Consider the following 21173-nt stretch of genomic DNA (forward strand, 5'->3'; position numbering starts at 1 on the left):
CCGCATGGCAATGTATATCATAAACTACAGCAAAGCTTATGCCCTTTGACTCACTAATTTCACTCTTGGGAATACCTGTGGAAGTATTTCAAAAGAAGAAATTTAAAAATAAAAGCTGTAAGTATAAAGAAGTCTAATGCAATAATAATTATAATAAAAAATGGAGTAAAGTTTACATAATTCTCATGAGAATAATTAGGTAGCTTTAAGAACAGTTATTTGATGGATGTTTTATGCTGTTTAAGTGCATTTATATGTAATGTTAAATGGCAAAAAGTGAAAAAAATTTTATATAAATTATAATTTCAAACATGTATGAGTCCTAATGTGAATGTACATGTCCTAGAAACACACACACACAAACACATAAGAGTTAAAAAATGGTGTCAAATTTTAAAAATTACAAGGTTTTAAAATATCTAAATGTTTTTATATGTACATTGGATTTTAGTAACTAGTAAGATCATATTTTATTTAATAGCTTATTTAAATACTTCATTAAAATATTTTTTCCTCATTTTACTCTTTTGTATCTTGTTCATTTTATATTACTATTACAGAAAATAGTAATAAACATCTACTGTTTATATAGCAGCTTAATCATTGGATTATTTTTGTGATATAAATTTACTGTAAAGGCATATGTTGGTCATTTCATTTAGCTATCTGATAAAACATTTCTATTGATTATATATCTATGTACATATACACTCACGTTTTCAAATGAGTTATCTTTTTACAATAGAAACACAATACATAATCACACAGGTAGCTTACACCTAGAGTGTTAAGCAGAGGAAAGCTATATTCTTGAATAAGCGCACCAGCTTGGCACATGTATACATATGTAACTAACCTGCGCATTGCGCACATGTACCCTAAAACTTAAAGTATAACAATAAAAAGAAAATATATACAATGAAACGAATAATATGATTAGTAGAATCATATAAATCAACACATATATAAACTTGGATATTTAAACATGTTCCATTCTTTTTACAGTATACAGTCAGAATGCTTAGAAAATTTAGGGGATTTAGTATCACCTTGGTCAAGGGATGGTATATGCAAATGTTTACATAAGCCAGGGCAGTAAAACGGATAGATACATCTCTTTAGGTTCCATTTACAATGTGTCACCCAACATCAGAAGACCAAAGAGAGGAGCAGTGACTCTACTCTTGCTGACTGCTGTGCAAAAGCAGAGTCAACATGTTCAAAAGGCAAGATATCGACCCTGTTATGTGAAGTCTCCTGATTTTTTTTAAACATTTCAAATTTGTGTAAAACAAATAACCCTGTAAGTCGAGCAAAAGTTATCCACAGATCATATTTGCTGTCAGCTAGTTTGTGAATTCCGGCTCTAGTTCTAATCCTTTTATTTTAGAAAATACATAATTCCTATAAAATAAAACAAGGAGTCTTAGACTGCAGGTGGTAAGTCATGGAACTGGAAAAAGCACAGAGGACTCATGGATCATTCTCTAGCACAACCTCTTTTTCTCTCTTACACACACACACACACACACACACACGCATTTAAAAAAAAATCATTTATTAGGCCCAATTTTTCAAAGCAATCAATTTTAATTGTTTCATGGACATAATAAAAATGTCTATTAATATTTCAGGACATTTGAAGCTACAGAAGTTAGAGACTATTTTAGTCTCTGAATATTGTCATAATTCTGGAATCTGAAAATTCTAATGTTCTCTTAAATGGAATCTGCTAAACTTTCTCATAAGGACAAAATAATCATTTGAGTATGAAGCATTCTGCCAGCATTAAAGTAAATTATTGTCTTAAAAGCAGAAATCACAGAGGAGTGAAAACTTATCCACCTTTCTATATCCTAAATGGCATTGACATTTGAGGACAGTTATTTACACGGAGGTTGTTATGTGCTGCTTAGTTTACTTATCAAATGTCTATTTTAAATAACAGAATTCCAGAATTTGATTTCTGATAGTTTACAGTTATAAAAGTAATAAATGATATACAATTTTATTTATACCCATGTCATTGGTCATAACCTCCAACTTAACTCTAAAACATTGCTTGTATTCTGACCTCCTTAAAGTCATCTTTTTCTTCATAACCCTCTTGTTAGCATTTCTAAGCATGCCAGTTAACTCAATGGAGTATTCATTGATACTACATTTCCACATGTACCAAATAATTATCATAAGAAGAATACACAGTAAAATGAACACCTTAATCTGAGTTCTCTTGACTATCCACTGAGTCTTTCTTCTCTTCCCCTGTCCAACATGGCATGAAAATAGTAGTTGGCTATGTTCAAGGGACTACACAGTTTTGGACCAATATAATCTGAATAGAACAATTTTTACATTTTCTTCACATCCAGTTAGAAATAATAAGATATTATATCCTCACACACAAATCTCATTCTCCAAGACTAAATTCAAAATAAGCCTTTACTCTAAAATGCATGTAAAGTACTCCCACCCTAAGTCACCCCTTTTCTCTATATTAATATTTGATTTTCTTGGTGTTTATATTTTCATAACCTTTTGATATTAAAAAATACATTTTTAAAACAACTGCTTATAATAGAATGTTTTATAAGAGAATGTTAAACCTGGAAATAGTCCTTATGATTTCAACCAACCCATGGCAATAAATATGGCAAGTTTCTATGTCTCTTGGCATCCCAAGTGCACCAGAATTGCTTCCTTGGAAGTGTTATTTACCCACATTATTTTTGAATTTTATAATTTTTCTTGTTTTATTAAACATATGTGATGACAAGCTCTGAATCAATGTGAACTGTATTACACACATGTGATAAACACACAAATGCTCTGGGGCTCAGTTGATGTTTTTATGGGAATGTTCTACTCTGCTTGGTTAAGTTTCTTGGTGAATAAATTTTAGATCATATTGTAACTGAGTGGAATTCAAAACAGAAAAAATACATATTTTATTAAACCTTACAGGCATTTTTAAAACACAAGACTCCACTTCTCTCACAAATTGAAATACAAGTCAAGATCTGCATGTTCTATTGATTTATGTGATATAACAACGTCCCTTAATTCCTGCTCCTAGATGCCCAATCCATATAGGTAGCCCCTTTAAACCTCTGCATTTAGGTTGAGCAATGCCTGAAGTTCTGAGATAAATCATGCACTTAGTTCATTACACAGATGTTCTTTCTGTCAGGCTGGCTCTAGCCCAAGGCAGATAATTAGATTTTTGTCTTGTCCTAAGAACTGCCATGCCCTTGAGGATTCCGGTGTTTCTGCCTCGTTCTTTAGGTTTATTGCTTACCCAAATAGTATGCTAGATGTATTATACATAGCATCTTATTTAACACAGAGGAAAGTGTTGAATTTCTTTCAGAGTAATTTGTTTTAAAATAATGGTAAAATTCTTAATTTAAAAGAGTGAATATTTGTCAAACTGTCACTTCATTTCCTTTAGTGAAGATTTTAGAACAGGTGGTGATAAAGAAATATATAGTGGATATGTGGTTGTTTGGGCTATTGCAAAGCACACTGATCTTTCTTTTACTCAGGCATACTTTCAAACTTTCTTGACATTTACATATATACATTCACATACACATACATTACAACAGTGCGTTATAAAATAGCTACTGCTATCAAGTGTGATGTACTGTGATTTTTAAATTCTATTCTAGTATATTCTTTTGAAAATTAGAAATGTACATATTGATTCTACAACTGACTAATAAGATACAATTCGCAGTTTGAAAGTGCTCTTCAAGTAAGTAGGATTTGACTTTAGGGATGGCTTAAGCTACTGGTGGTAAGGATAAATTCAAGGATTTGTCACTAGAGCATGTAACTCGGTCACATCTCAGGAGATGAAAGTAAACTTTTACTAGGTCACGAGCATAGAGACCAGAGACTTTTTATTCATTTTGAACTTAAGGGTCACACTTTCATTTCAGAAGAGATAGTGGAGATCTGTAAAAATGTTAAGTTTTAATGACTTTATTGGTGCCACTGTATCAAGCTTTGTCTGGAATCAGTCATATTTCTGGATTTTCAGGTATGTATAACAATAAATGCATTTTACATCTAAGTGACTTTTTACTTTCAACTTTTACAAATTTTTTACACATATTTTTCAAAAGTTGATTTCAGAAAATAAAATTTAAATTATACTTTATAATTTTATCAACTAGACACCATTTAATTATGGAAAATATGACTGAAAAGAGACATAATTTGTTCAAGGCTCTCAGTTAATGTGAACTATTTACACAGGTCACGAGGTGGATTCGTGCATTTTAAAATGATTGCTTGCTTCAGTAAAATATGGGTCAATACACATTGCTTTATTATAAAAAACAAGTTTCTGAGGAGAAAATTATTCTCAAATGACTCATAACTGCAAGTAATGAAAGCTGTATTTGTGAGGGCAGATGTCACACCTACTTGAAATGAAGATGGCACTTCTGCCATTTAAATGTGAACAGTCCCAGGATATTCTCTATGTGAACCTAAAGCCTATTGGAATAAATCTGGGAAAGAATTAATATTATCTGACAGATTATTTATAAATGCAGGAATAGAAGATCACCTGTGCCAGGAGAGGTATTCAAACAATTCCTGGGTCTAGTGAGGTGTCCTGTGTCACAAAGGAATTAGTGTCCATTCCATGCTAAGATAAGTTCCAAAGGAGAAAAATGAAACTCAGAGGTCTGGTGTTTGCAGACCAGTCAGAGAAATAAAAGGTTTTAAAAATTGTGAGATAAGTCTTATTTTAGAGATGACAGCATAAAATATGTATCCTGCTTACAACCCATTGTGGGATACTAGACACAGCACATTTTAGCACATACTTCTACTAAGGAGGGCATTTTCATAAACCACTAGACCTAACTGCTTATAAGAATATGTACTTATCTTTTAGAGTTTTTCTAGTAGATAAGGCAGCATGAAATAAAAAATACTTTCTGAATTCTAGTGTTGCCATTTAATGCTTTTGGGGTCATTAAAGACTCTTTATGTTGCATCTAGAAAAATGACAAAAATATCTAAAATTTTACTTATAATATTACAGGGTTTATTATGGTGATTATATGAAAATGTCATTAAAATGTTTTGTGATATGTAAAGCCTGATATGACTTTATTATTTTACTAGATTTATACAATGAAACGTCCTGTGTTTGATCATTTCTCTGGATTTATACAATGAAAAGTTGTCCTGTCTTTGATCGATTCTCTGGAACTAGCAAGAAATAAAATAAACTATCAGTTCAGAGGGATAGATATGAAGGTTAAATTCCTGAGATTACTAAACCTGAAAACATATATGTTATCTACACTGGCAACAAAGAAGTCTCCAGGGAAAATTGTGAAATGCCATTGGAAGTAAAGAGTTAATGACTATATGGAAAAGGAAAAAAATCCCAATAGATGACTATTAATCACAAATACAACTTCTACCATCAGTCACAGAATAACGTAAGTAAAAAACATAATTGCCATCCATAATTTCGACATCATTGCTTTAGTTACAAAAGGTAGTTGTAATAATTTTAATAAAATTTCCCGAAGGTAAAAGGTGAGGGCTGCAAACGGAATGATTCCAAAGCTCAAGAATGACAAATCAGTTAGGCACAGTGGTCTCTCCCCATATTCTATCAATCTAGGCATATATTCCTCCGTAATCTTGGCAGGAGTATAAAAGTTTATTTTCTGAGATATTGAGTGAGAGATGCTGCAGTTCAGGGAAAACAAAGCACAGAAAAATATAAATTATGGGGACTTGTCACAACAGGATGACTATATGAGTTTACATATTGAATAATGAGACTCTTTGCTAATGTGTCCTCCTGCTTGTACCATTTGGCCCAAAGATTGCTGTTGACAGGAATTTACTTTTTACCATAAAATTGAAGATTTTTTTTCCTGAAATAATTGAACAACTCAGGAGGAAATATATATAGTTACAGATATTTACTGGTATCTCAGCATCATGCCTGCATTCCTGGTCAAGTAAACCAGTCCAAGATTCACCAATGCACACAAAACATCCAACTTATCATTACCTCATTATTAAATTCAAATAGGCAGAAAATAATTTTCAAACACTTGAGAAACTCTCCACTATGAAATACTGTGAGAAAATCAACCAAACAAGTAAAATACAAACACAGAGAAAGTAGAGACAACGCAGAAAACAGAAAAAAACTTTAAAAGATAATATACCGATCTCTCGAGGGTAATAATGAAAGATTTCTTAGAAGTTGAAAAGAAAATAGCTAGATTAACAAAATTACCCAATTTTATGTTTGGAAGCTACATTGAAGGAACATTCTCCCAAAGAATAAGAAACAAAAGCATATTTAAACTACCAGAAAATAGTAAGAATATTAATTAGAATATTGATACAAAAAATTCAATATCAAACTGATAATTGTACCAGAAAGAAACACAGAATGAAAGGAAGAAACCTACCAATATGTAAAAACATATTTTACCATGCAAATGGTTTTATATTCCTAAATGAATCAGTATACTTCATCATATGAACAAACTTAAGCAAAAAAACCTCTCATCTCAAAAACTTCAAATAAATTATTCAACAAAATCCTGCATTCATTTCAAAAGAAAAAATTCTCTGAAATCTAGTAATAGAAAGGAAATTCCTAAACATGATAAATGTAAATCTACAACACCAATAAATGCCGTCACTCAAAATGGTGAAAAAATGAATGATTTCCCCTAAAATGAGAAACAAGTCAAAGATATCTCCTTTACACAGTTCTGTTTAACATCATTCTTTTGTTTCTAGCCAGTGCAAAAGGCAAGAAGAAGAATTAAAAGTCCTTCAAATTGAAAAGAAAAATAAAATCACATATGTCTTTATTTGTAGACCATGATTACATAGAAAACTTGTTGGAATCTACAGAAACTTAGTACAACTAGCAAGTGAGTGTTAACAGTTTGCAGGATACAAGATCAATATGTAAAATTCCTTTGAATTTATGTATAGTAGACACAAATGATCAAAAATTTAAAACATAAAATGTAGTCCCATCTAAAACAACTATAAAATGGGAAATACTACTCTGGTTTAGACATTTGTCCCCTCCAAACCTCATGTCAAAATTTAATCCCCAGTGTTGGAGGCGGGTCTTCGTGGGAGGTGTTTGGGTCATGGGGATGGATCCTTATGAACAGATTAATGTTTCCCCTCAGATGTAAGTGAGTTCCCATTCTGTTACTTCCTGTGAGAGCTAGTTATTAAAAATAGCCTGGTACCTCCCCCTCTCACTCTCTCTCTCTTGCTTTCACTGTCACCATGAGATCTCTGCACATGCTGAGTCCCATTCACCTTTCATTATAAGTAGAAGCAGCCTGAGGTCCTTGCCAGATGCACAGGCCCAAACTCAAACTTTCCAGGCATCAGGATCATAAGCCAAATAAATTTCTTTTATGAATTATCCAGCATGAGCTGTTCTTTTATAGCAACGCAAACAGACTAAGATAAAACAAAATCTGACAAATTGCCCAAGAACTGTACACTAAAAACTATAAAACATTTCTGAGAAAAACTAAAAACCTAAAGAAAGAGATATACCTTATTGAAGGGTCTGAGAACCCACTATTGTCCATTGCTATTCCTTTTAAATTGATCTATAAAATTAATGTAATTCCAATCAAAATCCTAGTTAGGCTTTTTGTAGAAATTGATAAGTTAATTACAAATTTTACAAAAAAACCCAAAATATCTAGAATAGTTAGGGAGAAACAACACTGAAAAGAAGGCCACCTTTTATTAAAATCATCCATCCTCTTTTATGGGTGGAGAGTAAGGATAGGAGGAGGTCTGTCTGAAAAAGGTCTACCTTAAACCTCTTTGAACCAAGGTTTCTCTGCTTTTCTCATTATATTCTCTCCTAAATGCCCTATACAGCAGCCTGAGTGTTGGCACCAAACCCTAGTACGGTCAGGTACTGCCTATCCTAAGGCAAAAACCAAGAAAACTAAGAGCAGCTTTCCAACTGCCTTATTATTATTGTTTTAAGAAACACGCTGCTGCAGACTGTAGTAACCCACATAGTCAAACATGCAAAAATTCAAAGAGCCATTTTAACTTAGGGTAGCCTTACAGCTTTTTAAAATTTGTTCTCTAGAATTTCTTCAGTGGCTGACCATGTGGGAGGGAGCCTGTTTAAATTCAGCATCTTGTAAGAAATTAGAACAGACATTTAAAAGATTATTTTTTTCAAAGTGATTTATAACCTTGGAAGGATGTGATTCTGAAACTGCCTGAACCACCTTTCCTGGCTGTGTCAAGGAAGCTTGTCCGCAGGATAATAGAAAAAAGAAGAGTACAGCAGAAACATTTCTAAGGCATTAAGGTATGTGGGTATGTGCACATTTGTGAGAATGAGAGAGAGAAAGAGAAATCCAGTGACCTTTTTCTGAAGCTGGATATTGTTACATTGCTATCCCCAGTGCAACCCTGGATTTCCCAATTACTGTGACAAACTTCCTACTCAATCTGAGTTAAATTTCTGGCTCTGGCAACAATAGAGTGTGGCTTAATGAGCAAGATATTTCTAGATGGGGCTAAAGTTGATATGCTTTTTGTGACACTTTTCAAAGTGTAAGTACCAAGTGACAATCGACTCTGCCTCTCTTTAGCCTGTCCAGGCCTGATATCACAATGACTGACTGAAAATTATTTGAAAGATACATGCTACGAAATTTCCAAGAACATCTGAAAGTACTGGGTTATTAATAATGTATGATTCATATTAGAAATCAGTATATATTTTGTTTCAGTTTGTTATCATGCCTATTTGATACCTATTTCTTCGGTATCAGATTTTGATTGTTATTATGTATACTATTTTAAATTGACTAAATAAAATTTTTAACATAGCATATTTTTTAGTTTCCAAAATAAAGAAATTGCATTGTAGTACACTTGACATACCAGAGACACAGTTGATTTATGAGACTTAGCATTAAACTCATCTGAAGATCTCTTTTGTTTTCTCTTACTGTATATACAAGACACTTAATTAATATCCCCTCCATCTCCCTCCCCTTACAGCTAGGATATGTGCCCAGGATTTAGTGATGACAACCATATTTGGAGACCAGAGGATGTGGAGACAACAGAGTTAACCCTGAGATTCTGACCTTTGTATTAATCAGGCACCAGGATCAATAAAGAAAAGAATTATCCCATTGAAGCTCATCTCTGAGGGATTGTCACAGCATGTAGCTGGACAAGTGTATTAGTTCATTCTCACACTGCTATACAGAAATACTTGAGACTGGGTAACTCATAAAGAAAATAAATTTAATTGACTCATAATTCTGCAGGCTGTACAGGAAGCATAGTGGCTTCTACATCTGGGGAAGCCTCAGGAAACTTACAATCATGGCAGAAGGCAAAGTGGGAGCAGCATCTTCACATGGCTAGAGCAGGAGGAGGAGAACTGCTACATACTTTAAAACCACCAGATCATGTGATAACTCACTCACTCACTATCATAAGAACAGCACAGAATGGATGATGATAAACCATTCAGGAGAACTCTCCCCTTTTGGTCCAATCACCTCCCATCAGGCCCCACCTCCAACCCTGGGGATTACAACTCAACATGAGATTTGGGTGGGGACAGAAATCCAAACCATGTCAATGAAACCGAGTGTTATTTACCCACAGGGCTGCCGTATTTTAAGGCCTACCTTGGCACAATCCCCTCCTTGAGACACCTGTGAGTTCCTGCCAAAATGTTCGCAAACTTGCTAATTCCTGCCTCTTTTTTGTGGGAGGTAAAAGTGTACTATCCATCAGTTGGTTCTGTGTCCTCCAATATCTGAGTGATAAACATTCTGGGATTTTGTGAGTTCCTGTTTCCTTGGGGAGGTAAGAGGATAAAAAGGACTTACGTGCATACCTGATGAAATGTCAGGCGATATCCTGTACCATATTAGAGGATAAAACCATGAGAAACTGGTCTGGATGATAATCTTGGCAATATGGGATTTGGGGTACTACTGTGAAGTGACATTGATTGTACTCAAAGCTTTAAGAGCTGGAGACACATACATGTGTTGTGCACGCACACACACACACACACACACACACATATGTATAGTATCCCAATGCTTGGATTATGATGGTTGCTTATTGAATGATAGCAATCAGAGTTGTTACTGTTATTATTACCATTACTGATACTACTAATACTGCTGTCACTATAGTTTTACCTTAGCCATACTCAGATTATGTTTTACGGAAATAATAATGATTAATCTATAAACTCACTAGCTAGTTCAGTCTTCCATTCCACAGAGAACTTCACCAGCATAGCGTCCTACAACATAAAACAGTATGCTTTATTTCATGACACACTTTACAAATTTTTATTAAATGACAGAATGAATTCTAAATGTTGACAAAATTGTTCTGAGGTATGCATTCCACATGGCTATGAATCCACATGATTCTGTCATTATGAATGGAAAAGAAAATGAAACAACTAATTCGAGCTAGTGTTATTTTAATTCAACTTTGGACTTGTCCATGCTTTGAATTTTAAAAGCCAGCTCTCTTGTTTTTCGACATGGTTCTTATAAATGCAACTTTGTTTGACTCTGTCATAGGCAGCATTAAGATGGAAGTTACAGATGTTCTTAGACTGCGCTTACTTAAGCATTGCCAGCCACTTGAGGGTGGCTCTTGGCAAGGGCAAAGCTGTCAAAACTCACAGGTTGTGCCCATATGCGAAGGCTTGTGCCTTTTACTACATCTCCTTTAATTTCAAACATTTTGGAACCAGTGGCTCAGAACACAATATCCTGTAGAGCTGGGCTCATACTTCAGTGAAAGGGAACAACTTTGCAGATGATCAACTTTTACAATTTCTGTTCATCGTGTGGTTGATAGAGAAACAATGAAAATAGACAGTGTATTCTTTTCTCCTGCTTTATCTTATTTTAATCCGGGGTCATGTAAAACTTGCTAAATCAGTTGGGTTTACAAGTTTTCAGGTGAAACTACTGTTGTTCCTGTACTTTTCCTGTGAAGGTTACAGAATTTTTCCACAGGCCCCACCTCTCCCTATTCTAGGCCAGTGAGCTGAGAACAATCAGAAAGATATGACCGGCTGCTGGATTTTACCCTGTGATTATGAAGATGAAGGGAAGATATGTGTCTAAGTGATGTTTTCTTACTGTAATTAGAAAGAAGTACAATTAAAATTTCTACTTACTTTAAAATAATCTCAAACAGCTCTATTTTATGCAGCTATGAGTCTCTACCTGGAAATTTATACTGTTGTTTGGCTGCTATGTAACTGACTTGAGGCAAATGGTTAAAAAATAGCACAAAGTACACAACATCAGTAAAACCTAATGAAACAAATTTTGCAAATGATAGGAGCCCTGATAATACATGAGAAAGAAGAGAAAGAATATGAGACACTATTGTATGAGAATGGCTGAAAGTATTACTATATACAACAAAAGATGGTAATAAAACATTTGTGTATAAACTTAAATATATTAGATTGGAACACACAAAAATTAGATCTTTTTAAAAAACCAATGGTTTAATATTGATTTTACAATAGTGCTGAGATGAAGGACTTTGGAATTCCAATTTTTGGAAACAGCAGCAGTTAGGTACAATCAATACATTCATGAGGTGAAGATACTGCCTAGGGGAAGCTCTCTGGCCCAGATTTGTCTCTGTCTCTGAAAATATTTTTGAAAGGTTCTTCACTTTTAAGGACCTATTTCATTAGGTTGATTCCTAATCAAAGATAATCTCCTAATCTTGTGATCCTTAATTTAATCAAATATTCAAAGTACCTTTCACCATGTAGAATAGCATTTCTGCAGATTCTACAGATTGACATGTGAACATCTTTGGGAACCTTAATTCTGACTATCATACTTAGATTTGTTTATTTTTCTTTTGGTGGGTTCTGCTAGGTAAATTAGTATAACCTTGAGTGTATGTGTGATTATTAGAGTAAGGTGTAACATATTAGCAAGTTTTATAGAATTTATCTCAGATAATTCTTAGATTTTATATATATATATATATATATATATATAGTAAGAAATATGCTCTTATGCTTGTTATATAATAACATTTTATATAATTGCACATAGATTTTAGTAATTAGTTCTTACGAATTGTTATGTTTGTATAGTATGTTATATCAATAAGTATTTATTTGTATGAAGATGTCAATTGAAAGCAGCAAGAAAGTAATATATGAGAAGCACATACCATGTGGAAGCCATACATATGATTCCATATGTATGGAAAATGCTAAGTCGAATTTTCTTTAATTTTTGCTTTCTACATTTTACAGAGAAAAGTATTAAGGCTTAGAGAAGTTTTTAAAAAAATATTGCCTGATTTCTACAGGATGGAAATGCTGAAGTCTGGATTTAAATCCAAACAAGTTGGGCTTTAAAAAAACCATATTCTTTCTAAAATACAGCACTACCACCACTGGATATCAAATGTTCTTTGGAAAATTTAAGTCACCTTTAACATTAATTCCAACAGGCTTCCAAAATAGTTATGTGAATGGATTAAGCTATAATATGATTCAGTCAGTATCTTTCATGACCACTTTATTTAGTCTATGAATGGATATATTTGCTAGGTTCTAATTTTCTGAGGTTGCAAACCAATTACCTAATTTCAGTTGCTGGAATGGTGTGGTGCATATTTGACAAATAAAAGAACAGTGCACACTTTTACATTGTGGTCTCTGAAGATCAGTTATATAATGATTTTTTCCATCTGCTGGAAAATATTACAATTATTGTCTCATCAAACACTCTGTTACACTTCAAGTAAAACTTCAAGCAAGGATTCTATGCTATTTTGGTGTATGATTTCCTTGAAAACCATTATTGATAAATATAATGATTCAGTCATAACACATATGCTTTAAATAAAAGTATAACACTAATATTCTACATTCTATGCATGTAGAAATGTTGCTGTTTGGATTATTTTTTTTCCTGGTCTAGCTAGATTAATATTTTAAAATTAGTATCTCACAATAGAATTTATGGAAAATTCTTTTTTATCTGACCATTCCCTGGACTACTTGTCTTTAGATCTAGACTATTTTGAATAGGAAAAGGAATAAAGGGCATTAGAAAACCAACAGAGGAAAGAAGAGAAAGAAAACTTAAATAGAACGAAAAATCATTATGAAATTAAATAAGGTAAAGGTAAAGATAAAGAAGGAATAAATGGAAAGAAATACGGCAAAGAAAGAGACTTTTCCAGACTCATTTTTGTAAATAATCTGTGACAGCTCACCTTGTGGAAGTGGAGTGGATGCCCAGGGCTGGAGTTGATTGGCAGCTTTGACTTTGTCTTGGGAATATCTCCCAGCAGTTGCTATTTTTACACAGCGGCTTGCTCTTAGTGGGGCCAATCAGAATTGTCTCAAAGATGATCTGGCAACGCCCAGATTCTTAGGAACTATTAAATAGGAACGCAAATAATAGTTTTTTCTGGAACTATGAAAAAAAAATAGTAGGAGGTTTAATACTATGGCTAAGGTTTAGTACTCACAATACTAAGTCAGAGTACAAGAGGCTAAGCAAACATTAAGAATAACCTCTTGGTGCTTTCTTCATTAACTACATAGGTTTTTCAATGTTTATTTTCCCCTCAACCTACTTCAGTGGCTTCTTGGCACACACACAAAAAAATGTGAGTTAAAACTTGGTGTATATAATGTACAGATCCCATGAAGTTATTCATTTTATTTTAAAACTGTTGGAAAATTATCACAGCCAAAAAGAGGCAGGCTCTGCCATAGGAATTAGGAGAAAATGAAGTGTATAAAGGAAAACCTAAGAGCTTAAAAATGAAGAGATCTGTGTATAAATCTTGGCTCAGTTTCTTACTGGCTGTGTGGCTTTGAATAAATTGAATGTGACCTTGAATAAATTACTTATTTTTCTGAGTCTGAGTTTCTTAATATAGAAAATAAAATAATAATATGTACTTATTATGATCACTATAGAATTAAGAAAGATAGCATATAAAAGTGCCTATTATAATAAATACATTGTCACTGCTAACACTAGGTGACTATTATTATAATTGATATTTTAAAAATAATGGATGAAAAGGTAACTTCCACAGTGATTGCTTGAATAGCCAAAAAATTTCACATAGTTTCATTCCTTTTGGCACAATGAAATATTCAGGTAAATTCCTTAGAAAACCCTAAATATTAACAGCCATTTTTCTAATACTGAGAAAAAATACCCTCTTTTGTCTTTTTTTGTCAACTCTGTCTCTAGCATCACATTGTCAGAGCATGAAGAAGCATTGGAACACACCATCATCCATAAATTTATCTAATAAAATGAAAATAACAAATGTTTATTAAATATGAAGTTTATGCATTAGAAGTTGAGAAACCATATAGGATTGAATGTAGACCCTGGAAACATATTATTATCACCTTCCTGTTTTCAATTAAAAACATTTTTTGTCTGTCTAAAGCTTAGTATCTTTTGATATTATGATAAAAATAAATATCTGCTTTGTTCAGCAGCAAGATTTGGACAAAAAATTCAATTAACTCTGAGAAAGCATTTTCTTTTTTGTTTTCCTAACTTAATAACAATCTTTTTCTTTCACTAGAAGTCCTTTTGTAGTGATGTACAGGCTCAATATGTTCTATAGATAACACAACATAAGATGAAAATGTGCAGAAATAAAATAAATGGTGTATGAAGATCATCTGTTGTCCGCAGGCAGTGCATTGGCAGCAATTCCGTTTGCTTTACTGCAGTCTTGACAGGCATCCTGCTCCCTGATGGCAGTGCTAACATGCTTTGGCAGTAGCTGCAAAAGCAGCTTTGGGTGATTAAATCTCAGTCTTTTTGTCAGGAAACTGTCTGTGATGTCTTTTCTGAAAACGACATTATGTCTTATTACAAACCATTTTACTTCTCCATAGACAGGCATTACCAATTAAAAGTGTTCATAAAACATGTTTCATTGTTCAGGTCCTTTACCTTTTCTATTTTAGGTGACAGTGTGGTTTACATGCTCATTAGGAAGAAGCTAAAAATATAGAAATTTTTTTTTCTGTGAACACTGAATTATTCATATGACTTGAAATCTAAATGTATATGCTTATTTTGTTTTCTTTATAAGCAAGATAATGAAATTTATTATTGCTCTTCTGGATTTAAGGGTTCTTTCAGCAATTTGAATATGTAGTATCCTTACCTTCTGGTTTGCATTGTTTCTGGTAAGTCAGCTGAAAATATTATTGGAGTTACCCTGTACATGAGTTGTTTGTCTCTCACAGCTTTCAAAATTTCCTCTTCCTCTTTTTCTTTCAACATTTTTGTCTTAATGTGTCTGGGTGTGGATCTCTTTGTATTTTTTCTTGCTTGTAGTTTATTGAATCTCTTCATGTGAGGTTGATGTTTTTATCAAATTAGTGATATTTTAAGCAATTAATTCTTAGAATACATTCTAAGAATTATTTACATATAAATTTAAAGATCTCTTTCCCCTCTTCTGGTAGTCTCATTATGTGCATGTTGATACATGCAAGAGTATCCCGTATTTCGTTGAGAGTATGTTTATTTCTTTAACTTCTATTTCAGTTCTTCTGATTGCATAATTTTTATTGATCTATCATCAAGTGTACTGATTATTTCTTCCTCCAGTTCAATTTTGACTTCAACTATTTTACATTTCAACTACTGAAATTTCATTTGATTCTTTTATATAATTTATTTCTCTCTATTGGTATTTCTATTTCATGAGACATCACCATGGAATCTTCTTTTACTTGTTAAAGCATAATTTCCTTTAGTTCATTTTTCCTGTTAAATCTGATATCTAGACCCTCTCACAGGAGATTTCTGTTGCCTGTCTTTCTGCCTGCATTTAGTCTCACTTTCTTGCTTTATTAAATGTCGTATAAAGTTTTTTTAAAATTGGAAACTCTAATATATTGCAGCATCTCTGGTCACTGGCCCAAACTGAGGAATTGCTTTTGGGTTGTTTACTCATTTATTTGCTTAGTGACTTAGTTCGAGTATTTTTCTAAGATGCAATTCTTATATATGTGAAGCCTATGATGCCATTCCTCAGGGTGCACTAACTAGGTTTGTACACAGTCCTTTGAGAGAACGGTGGTTTTATCTAAGCTTTTCTTTGATCTTTCTGTTCATTTTTTGCCTTTGTTAGCATTATACTCAGCTTTTAGGCTTCTCTAGCTGAGGTTTCTTGCACAAATGTCTGAGACAATGACCTGGGACATTAATTGATTCACAATGAGTCAATTACATTCAGCCTTTCTTCAGGGGTATTTTTTGAAGCTAGTTGTTAATGTGTGTTTTCATACCAGAAAAGTACTTTTTAAGTGTAGCTTCTCCTGATTTTCTCTGGTAAACTACTTAGACTAATGTTTAGCTTCTAGTTTTCATGGAGTGACCAGCCTCCTTTTGTTTGCCACCAAAATCTCCATTATTTTGAGAGTTCATGTAGGCTTGAACTTTCTTAGATTCCGTTACATAGTCAGGTCCAATGGGGAGATCTTGAATTCTTGGTTATTAGGGCATGGACTTTACACTGGCAGATTATCCGAGCTACTTCTATGGAGTTGGAGTCAGAGTGTTGCCTCCTTTTCTCAAAGGGAAAAACTCTATGAGTAGGGAGGTGGATGGGGGCAGTATGCTCTGCCCTTCTTTACTTCAGCCTTTTAGCTTGAAATCTCTGTTCTAAGAGCACAGGGAGGCTCCAGCTTTCTCAGCGTGTCATTCCTAGGGTAGAGCCTTCATCCCATGGATGAGGACTGGGTGGAGGAAGAGAGCCCGTGACCTCATGGTATCCCTAATCTAGAATTTAACCTCTGCAACACCAGGCTGGAGGGACATGAAATGATGATGGCCTGACCCTTTAGGTGAAATAACATAGTCCATAACTGCTACCTGGGGGAAAGGGTACCCCATTCTCTTGGCCATTATCACCCGAAATGGAGCTTGTGACACACTGTACTGAGGAGTTCAGGACGCAGGTGATGGCACAAGTGCCACAGACACTTCTTGTTCTTTTAGAAATGTAGTATATTTTATTGAATATACTCTAGGGAGAATTTTCATACACTTTTAAATTTTATTATTGTTATTTATTTATTTTCTATATGTATGAGTTTATAGGGTAAAAGTGCAATTTGTTTACATGCATAGATCTCGTAGTGGTGAAATCTGGGCTTTTAGGGTTTCCATCAACAAAATAACATGCATTTGTCCATTAAGTAATTTCTCATCATCCACTCCCAGTAACCACAATCTACCAGGTTTCCATGGATATATTCTACCATGGATATATTCTATATCCATGTGTACACATTATTTAACTCCCACTTATAAGTAAGAACATGCAAAGTTTATCTTTCTGAGTCTGACATTTTTCACTTAAGATAATGTCCTCTAATTCCTTTGTTGGTATTATACTCAGCTCTTAGGCCTCACTAGGTGAAGTTTGTTGCTCAAATGTTTGAGACAATGATCTGGGCCATAAATTGATTCATGCTGCTTAGGAAGATATTATTTTATTCTTATTACGGCTGAATAATATTCCATTGTGTTTGTATACCACATTTTAATCCAATCATCTATTGATGAACACAGGTCAATTCCATGTGTTTGCTGTTGTGAATAGTGTGGCAATAAATATCAGTGCAGGTATTTTTTAATATAATGATTTATTTTCCTTTGGATAGATAACCAGTAGTGGGACAGCTAGATCAAATGTTAGTTCTAGTTTTAGTTCCTTGAGGAAATCTCCATACTGTTTTCCATAGAGGATGTACTAGTGTACATTCCCACCAGCAGTATATGAGTTCTCTTATCTGTGCATCCTTACCAACATCTGCTGTTTTAAAACTTTTTAATAATTGCCATCCTGACTTGGGTAAGAGGATATCTCATAATTTTAATTTGCATTTCTCTGGTGATTAGTAATATTAAACATTTTTAATATATCTCTTGGCCATTTGTATGTCTTATTTTGAAAAATGTCTATTCATACCTTTGCCCACATTTTAATGAGATTATTTTGTTTTTGTTGAGTTGTTTGAGTTCTTGTATATTTTAGATAGTAGACCCTTGCTGGATACATAGTTTGCAAATATTCTCTTTCATTCTGTATGTCTTCTGTTCACTCTCTTAATTATTTCTTTTTCTGTACAGAAGCTTATTAGTTTAATTATGTCTCAGTTTTCTATTTTAGTTTTTGTTGCCTGTGTTTTTGAAATCTTAATCATAAATATTTTGCCTTGACCAATGTTCAAAAGAGTTTCCCTAGGTAAGTTTCTTCTAGTATTTTTATAGTTTAAGGTCTTATATTTAAATCTTTAATCAATCCTGAGTTGATTTTAGTATATAATGAGAGATAGAGGTCCAGCTTCATCCTGCATATGACAATGCCAGGACCATTTATTGAAAAAGGTGTCCTTTTCCCAGTGTATATTCCTGTCAACTTTGTCAAAAGTCAGTTGATTGTAAATATGTGGTTTTATTTCTGGGTTTTCTATTATCTTCCATTGATCTGTGTGTCTATTTTTGTACCAACTCCATTCTGTTTTGCTTACTATAGCCTTGCAGTACAATTTAAAGTCGGGTATTGTGATACCTCCAGAGACTTTAAGTGTTTTTGTATTTCTTCTATTTTTGTTTATAATTTTCACCAATTGTTTTTATTTTCCTGGTGAGTGAGACTTCAGGATTTCTCAAATCACCATTCCAGAATTATATGTGGTTCTTTTAAAGTAAGTTAATTCGGGAAGTTTTATGGAGTCAAATAGATAGTCACTTGAGATAAACTAAAATAAGTTACTAGTGTTTATTATGAATTACATGCACATTAACACAGACACAAACTCTCAAGAATGGCACCAAACCTAGTCAAATAATTATAGCAATTATCTTGAATATTGGTCAGGAAGAACCAAAAATCTTTAAAAATATTGGTCCCAACAAATATATATATTAAAAATCAGACACAAAAAACTCAAATAATTACCAGGTAACATAACTGCATGGCAGACAAAGGGTATTTATAGGAAAACAAAATATTCAGTACCCCGTAGGTTATACTTACAAAGTCTGAAATTCCAGTCAAAGATTACTAGACATGCATAACACTGGAAAATAATACATATAGTGAGAAGTAAAAGCAATACAATCAGTCAGTATAAACAAACCCATAATGGATAAATAAACTTGAATAAATAGACACAAGTTTAATATGTGATTATGGATGCATACTATACGCTCAAGAAGATAAGTAGAAATATGGAAGATATATAGGAGACCAAATTCAAACTTTTACAAATGAAATTTACAATGTGTGAGATTTTAAAAATATATTCTAGATAAGATAAATGTACTTGATGATAAACAAAAATTGTAGGAAAAAAGGTTAGTAAATTTTAAGACAAAAAAATAGAAACTAAAACAAAAGCAAATAAAAAATTAACATAATTAAAAGTATGTGATTGGGCTGTCAATAAACTTTAAACATTCTAATATACATGGAAAAAGCTGAGGTAGAGGGAAAATATTTGAAAAAAATAATGACAGTGTTTTTAAAAATTGTCAAATAATATAAACCCATAGATCCAAGATCCTCAAGCACTATATAGATGAGGAAAACTTCAACAATGCACTTCATAACATAATGAAATTTCTCACAACCAGTGATGAACAGAAAGTCATAAGAGGAGACAGAAAATAAGACACAATGTACTGTAGAACAAGAGTAAAAATGACAGCACAGTTTTTGTCAGAAACAATTGGAGCTAGCAGATAGTGAAAACATACCCTTACAATAGGAAAATAAAAATATAATCCCTTACTCAGCAAACTGTATTTTAATAATGAAGAAAAAATAATTACTTTTTCAGATATGCAAAAGCTGAAACACTTTTTCACCAGCAGATCTGCACTATAGAAAATAGTAAAGAAGGACTTTTACAGTGAAGGCTTATGATACTAGATACAATCATGGATTGACAAACAGAAATAAAATGCAGAAATAAAACAAAATGGCAATGACATGGGCAAATATACAAGCTGCTTTACTTACCATTAAATCTCTTTAAATATAATTGACTTTAAAGAAAAATAGCAACATATTATGGGATGTATAACAAGTAAAATTCATGAGAAACATAGCATAGAAGCAGACAGGAGAGAAAGCTATAACATTGAAAGGTTTTCATAATATACACAAAATAATAGAATATCTTTAAAATTAGAGGGGTAATAAGGTAAATATATATACTATAAAACTCTAAAGTAATCCTTACAACAAATACAAAAAATAGCTTGAAGTCAACAAAGGGGAGAAAATGAAATTATGAAAAAATTCAGTGGAAAGGAAGGTAGAATAAACATGAGATGGAACAAATAAAAACCAAAGAGCTTGATGCCTAAATAGAACCAAATCAATAATCATGTACAATGTAAATGGTATCTGAACACATCAATAAAAGTCAGAGACTTTCAGATTAGATCTCTCAGAAAAGCAAAATGCAACTCCACGTTGCCTAGAAGAAATACAGATGTGATAGGATTAAAAAAATAAAATACAAGTGAACTTCATTAGTAGGAAAAACATATCAATTTCTGGGCTCAAATTTAAGCACTAAACTGGAAATAGATTAATTTATAGAAAAAAAATGTCTGAAGTTAAAAGAACTCTCATGCAATGTTCTAAACATTCTTAATGCAGTCAAGTACAAGTCCAGCTCAGTAATTGAGAGTATGAGTTAGGTACTTGGCTTAAGAAAAGTAAAATTTAGAAATAGTCATTGAAATCAATTAAGGACAATTGGAAGGTTAAAGGATACAGAAGATTTAAGTGAGGTTAGAAGACATAGTAATTGAGTGGCATTAATCTGTGTATTTTTATTTGTCCCCAGGAAGTTTTAGATTACTCCATTGCAGGAGTGAAAATGTCAGCTAATAGTATATATTCAACATCTAAATATCTAAAAGTTTTTTATGTCTTCCTTTTTTTTCCTTATTCCAGTTTCTGTTTGTCTTCTGCCTGTCTTCCCTTCTTCGTTCCATGGTTTCTTCCTTCTTCCTTCCATAGGCATACTTCTT

General features: G+C 33.0%; 1 long non-coding RNA gene across 4 annotated transcripts in view; it reads right to left on the reverse strand.

Annotated features, from left to right (window-relative positions):
* Nucleotides 1–13372, reverse strand: part of LOC107986306 (uncharacterized) — a 201750-nt gene extending 188378 nt beyond the window's left edge. For 3 of the 4 annotated variants that reach the window (XR_001741800.2, XR_001741798.2, XR_001741796.2), the window contains exons 1-2: nucleotides 13333–13372; nucleotides 10303–10351 (exon numbers count right to left, since the gene is read on the reverse strand). This is a non-coding gene — a long non-coding RNA (uncharacterized LOC107986306). The remainder of the gene's footprint in view (nucleotides 1–10302; nucleotides 10352–13332) is intronic. The other variant, XR_001741797.2, reaches the window with a different exon arrangement.
* Between the last annotated feature and the right edge of the window lie 7801 nt (nucleotides 13373–21173).

The sequence above is a fragment of the Homo sapiens genome, chromosome 4, assembly GCF_000001405.40.
Source record: "Homo sapiens chromosome 4, GRCh38.p14 Primary Assembly".
Lineage (NCBI taxonomy): Eukaryota > Metazoa > Chordata > Mammalia > Primates > Hominidae > Homo > Homo sapiens.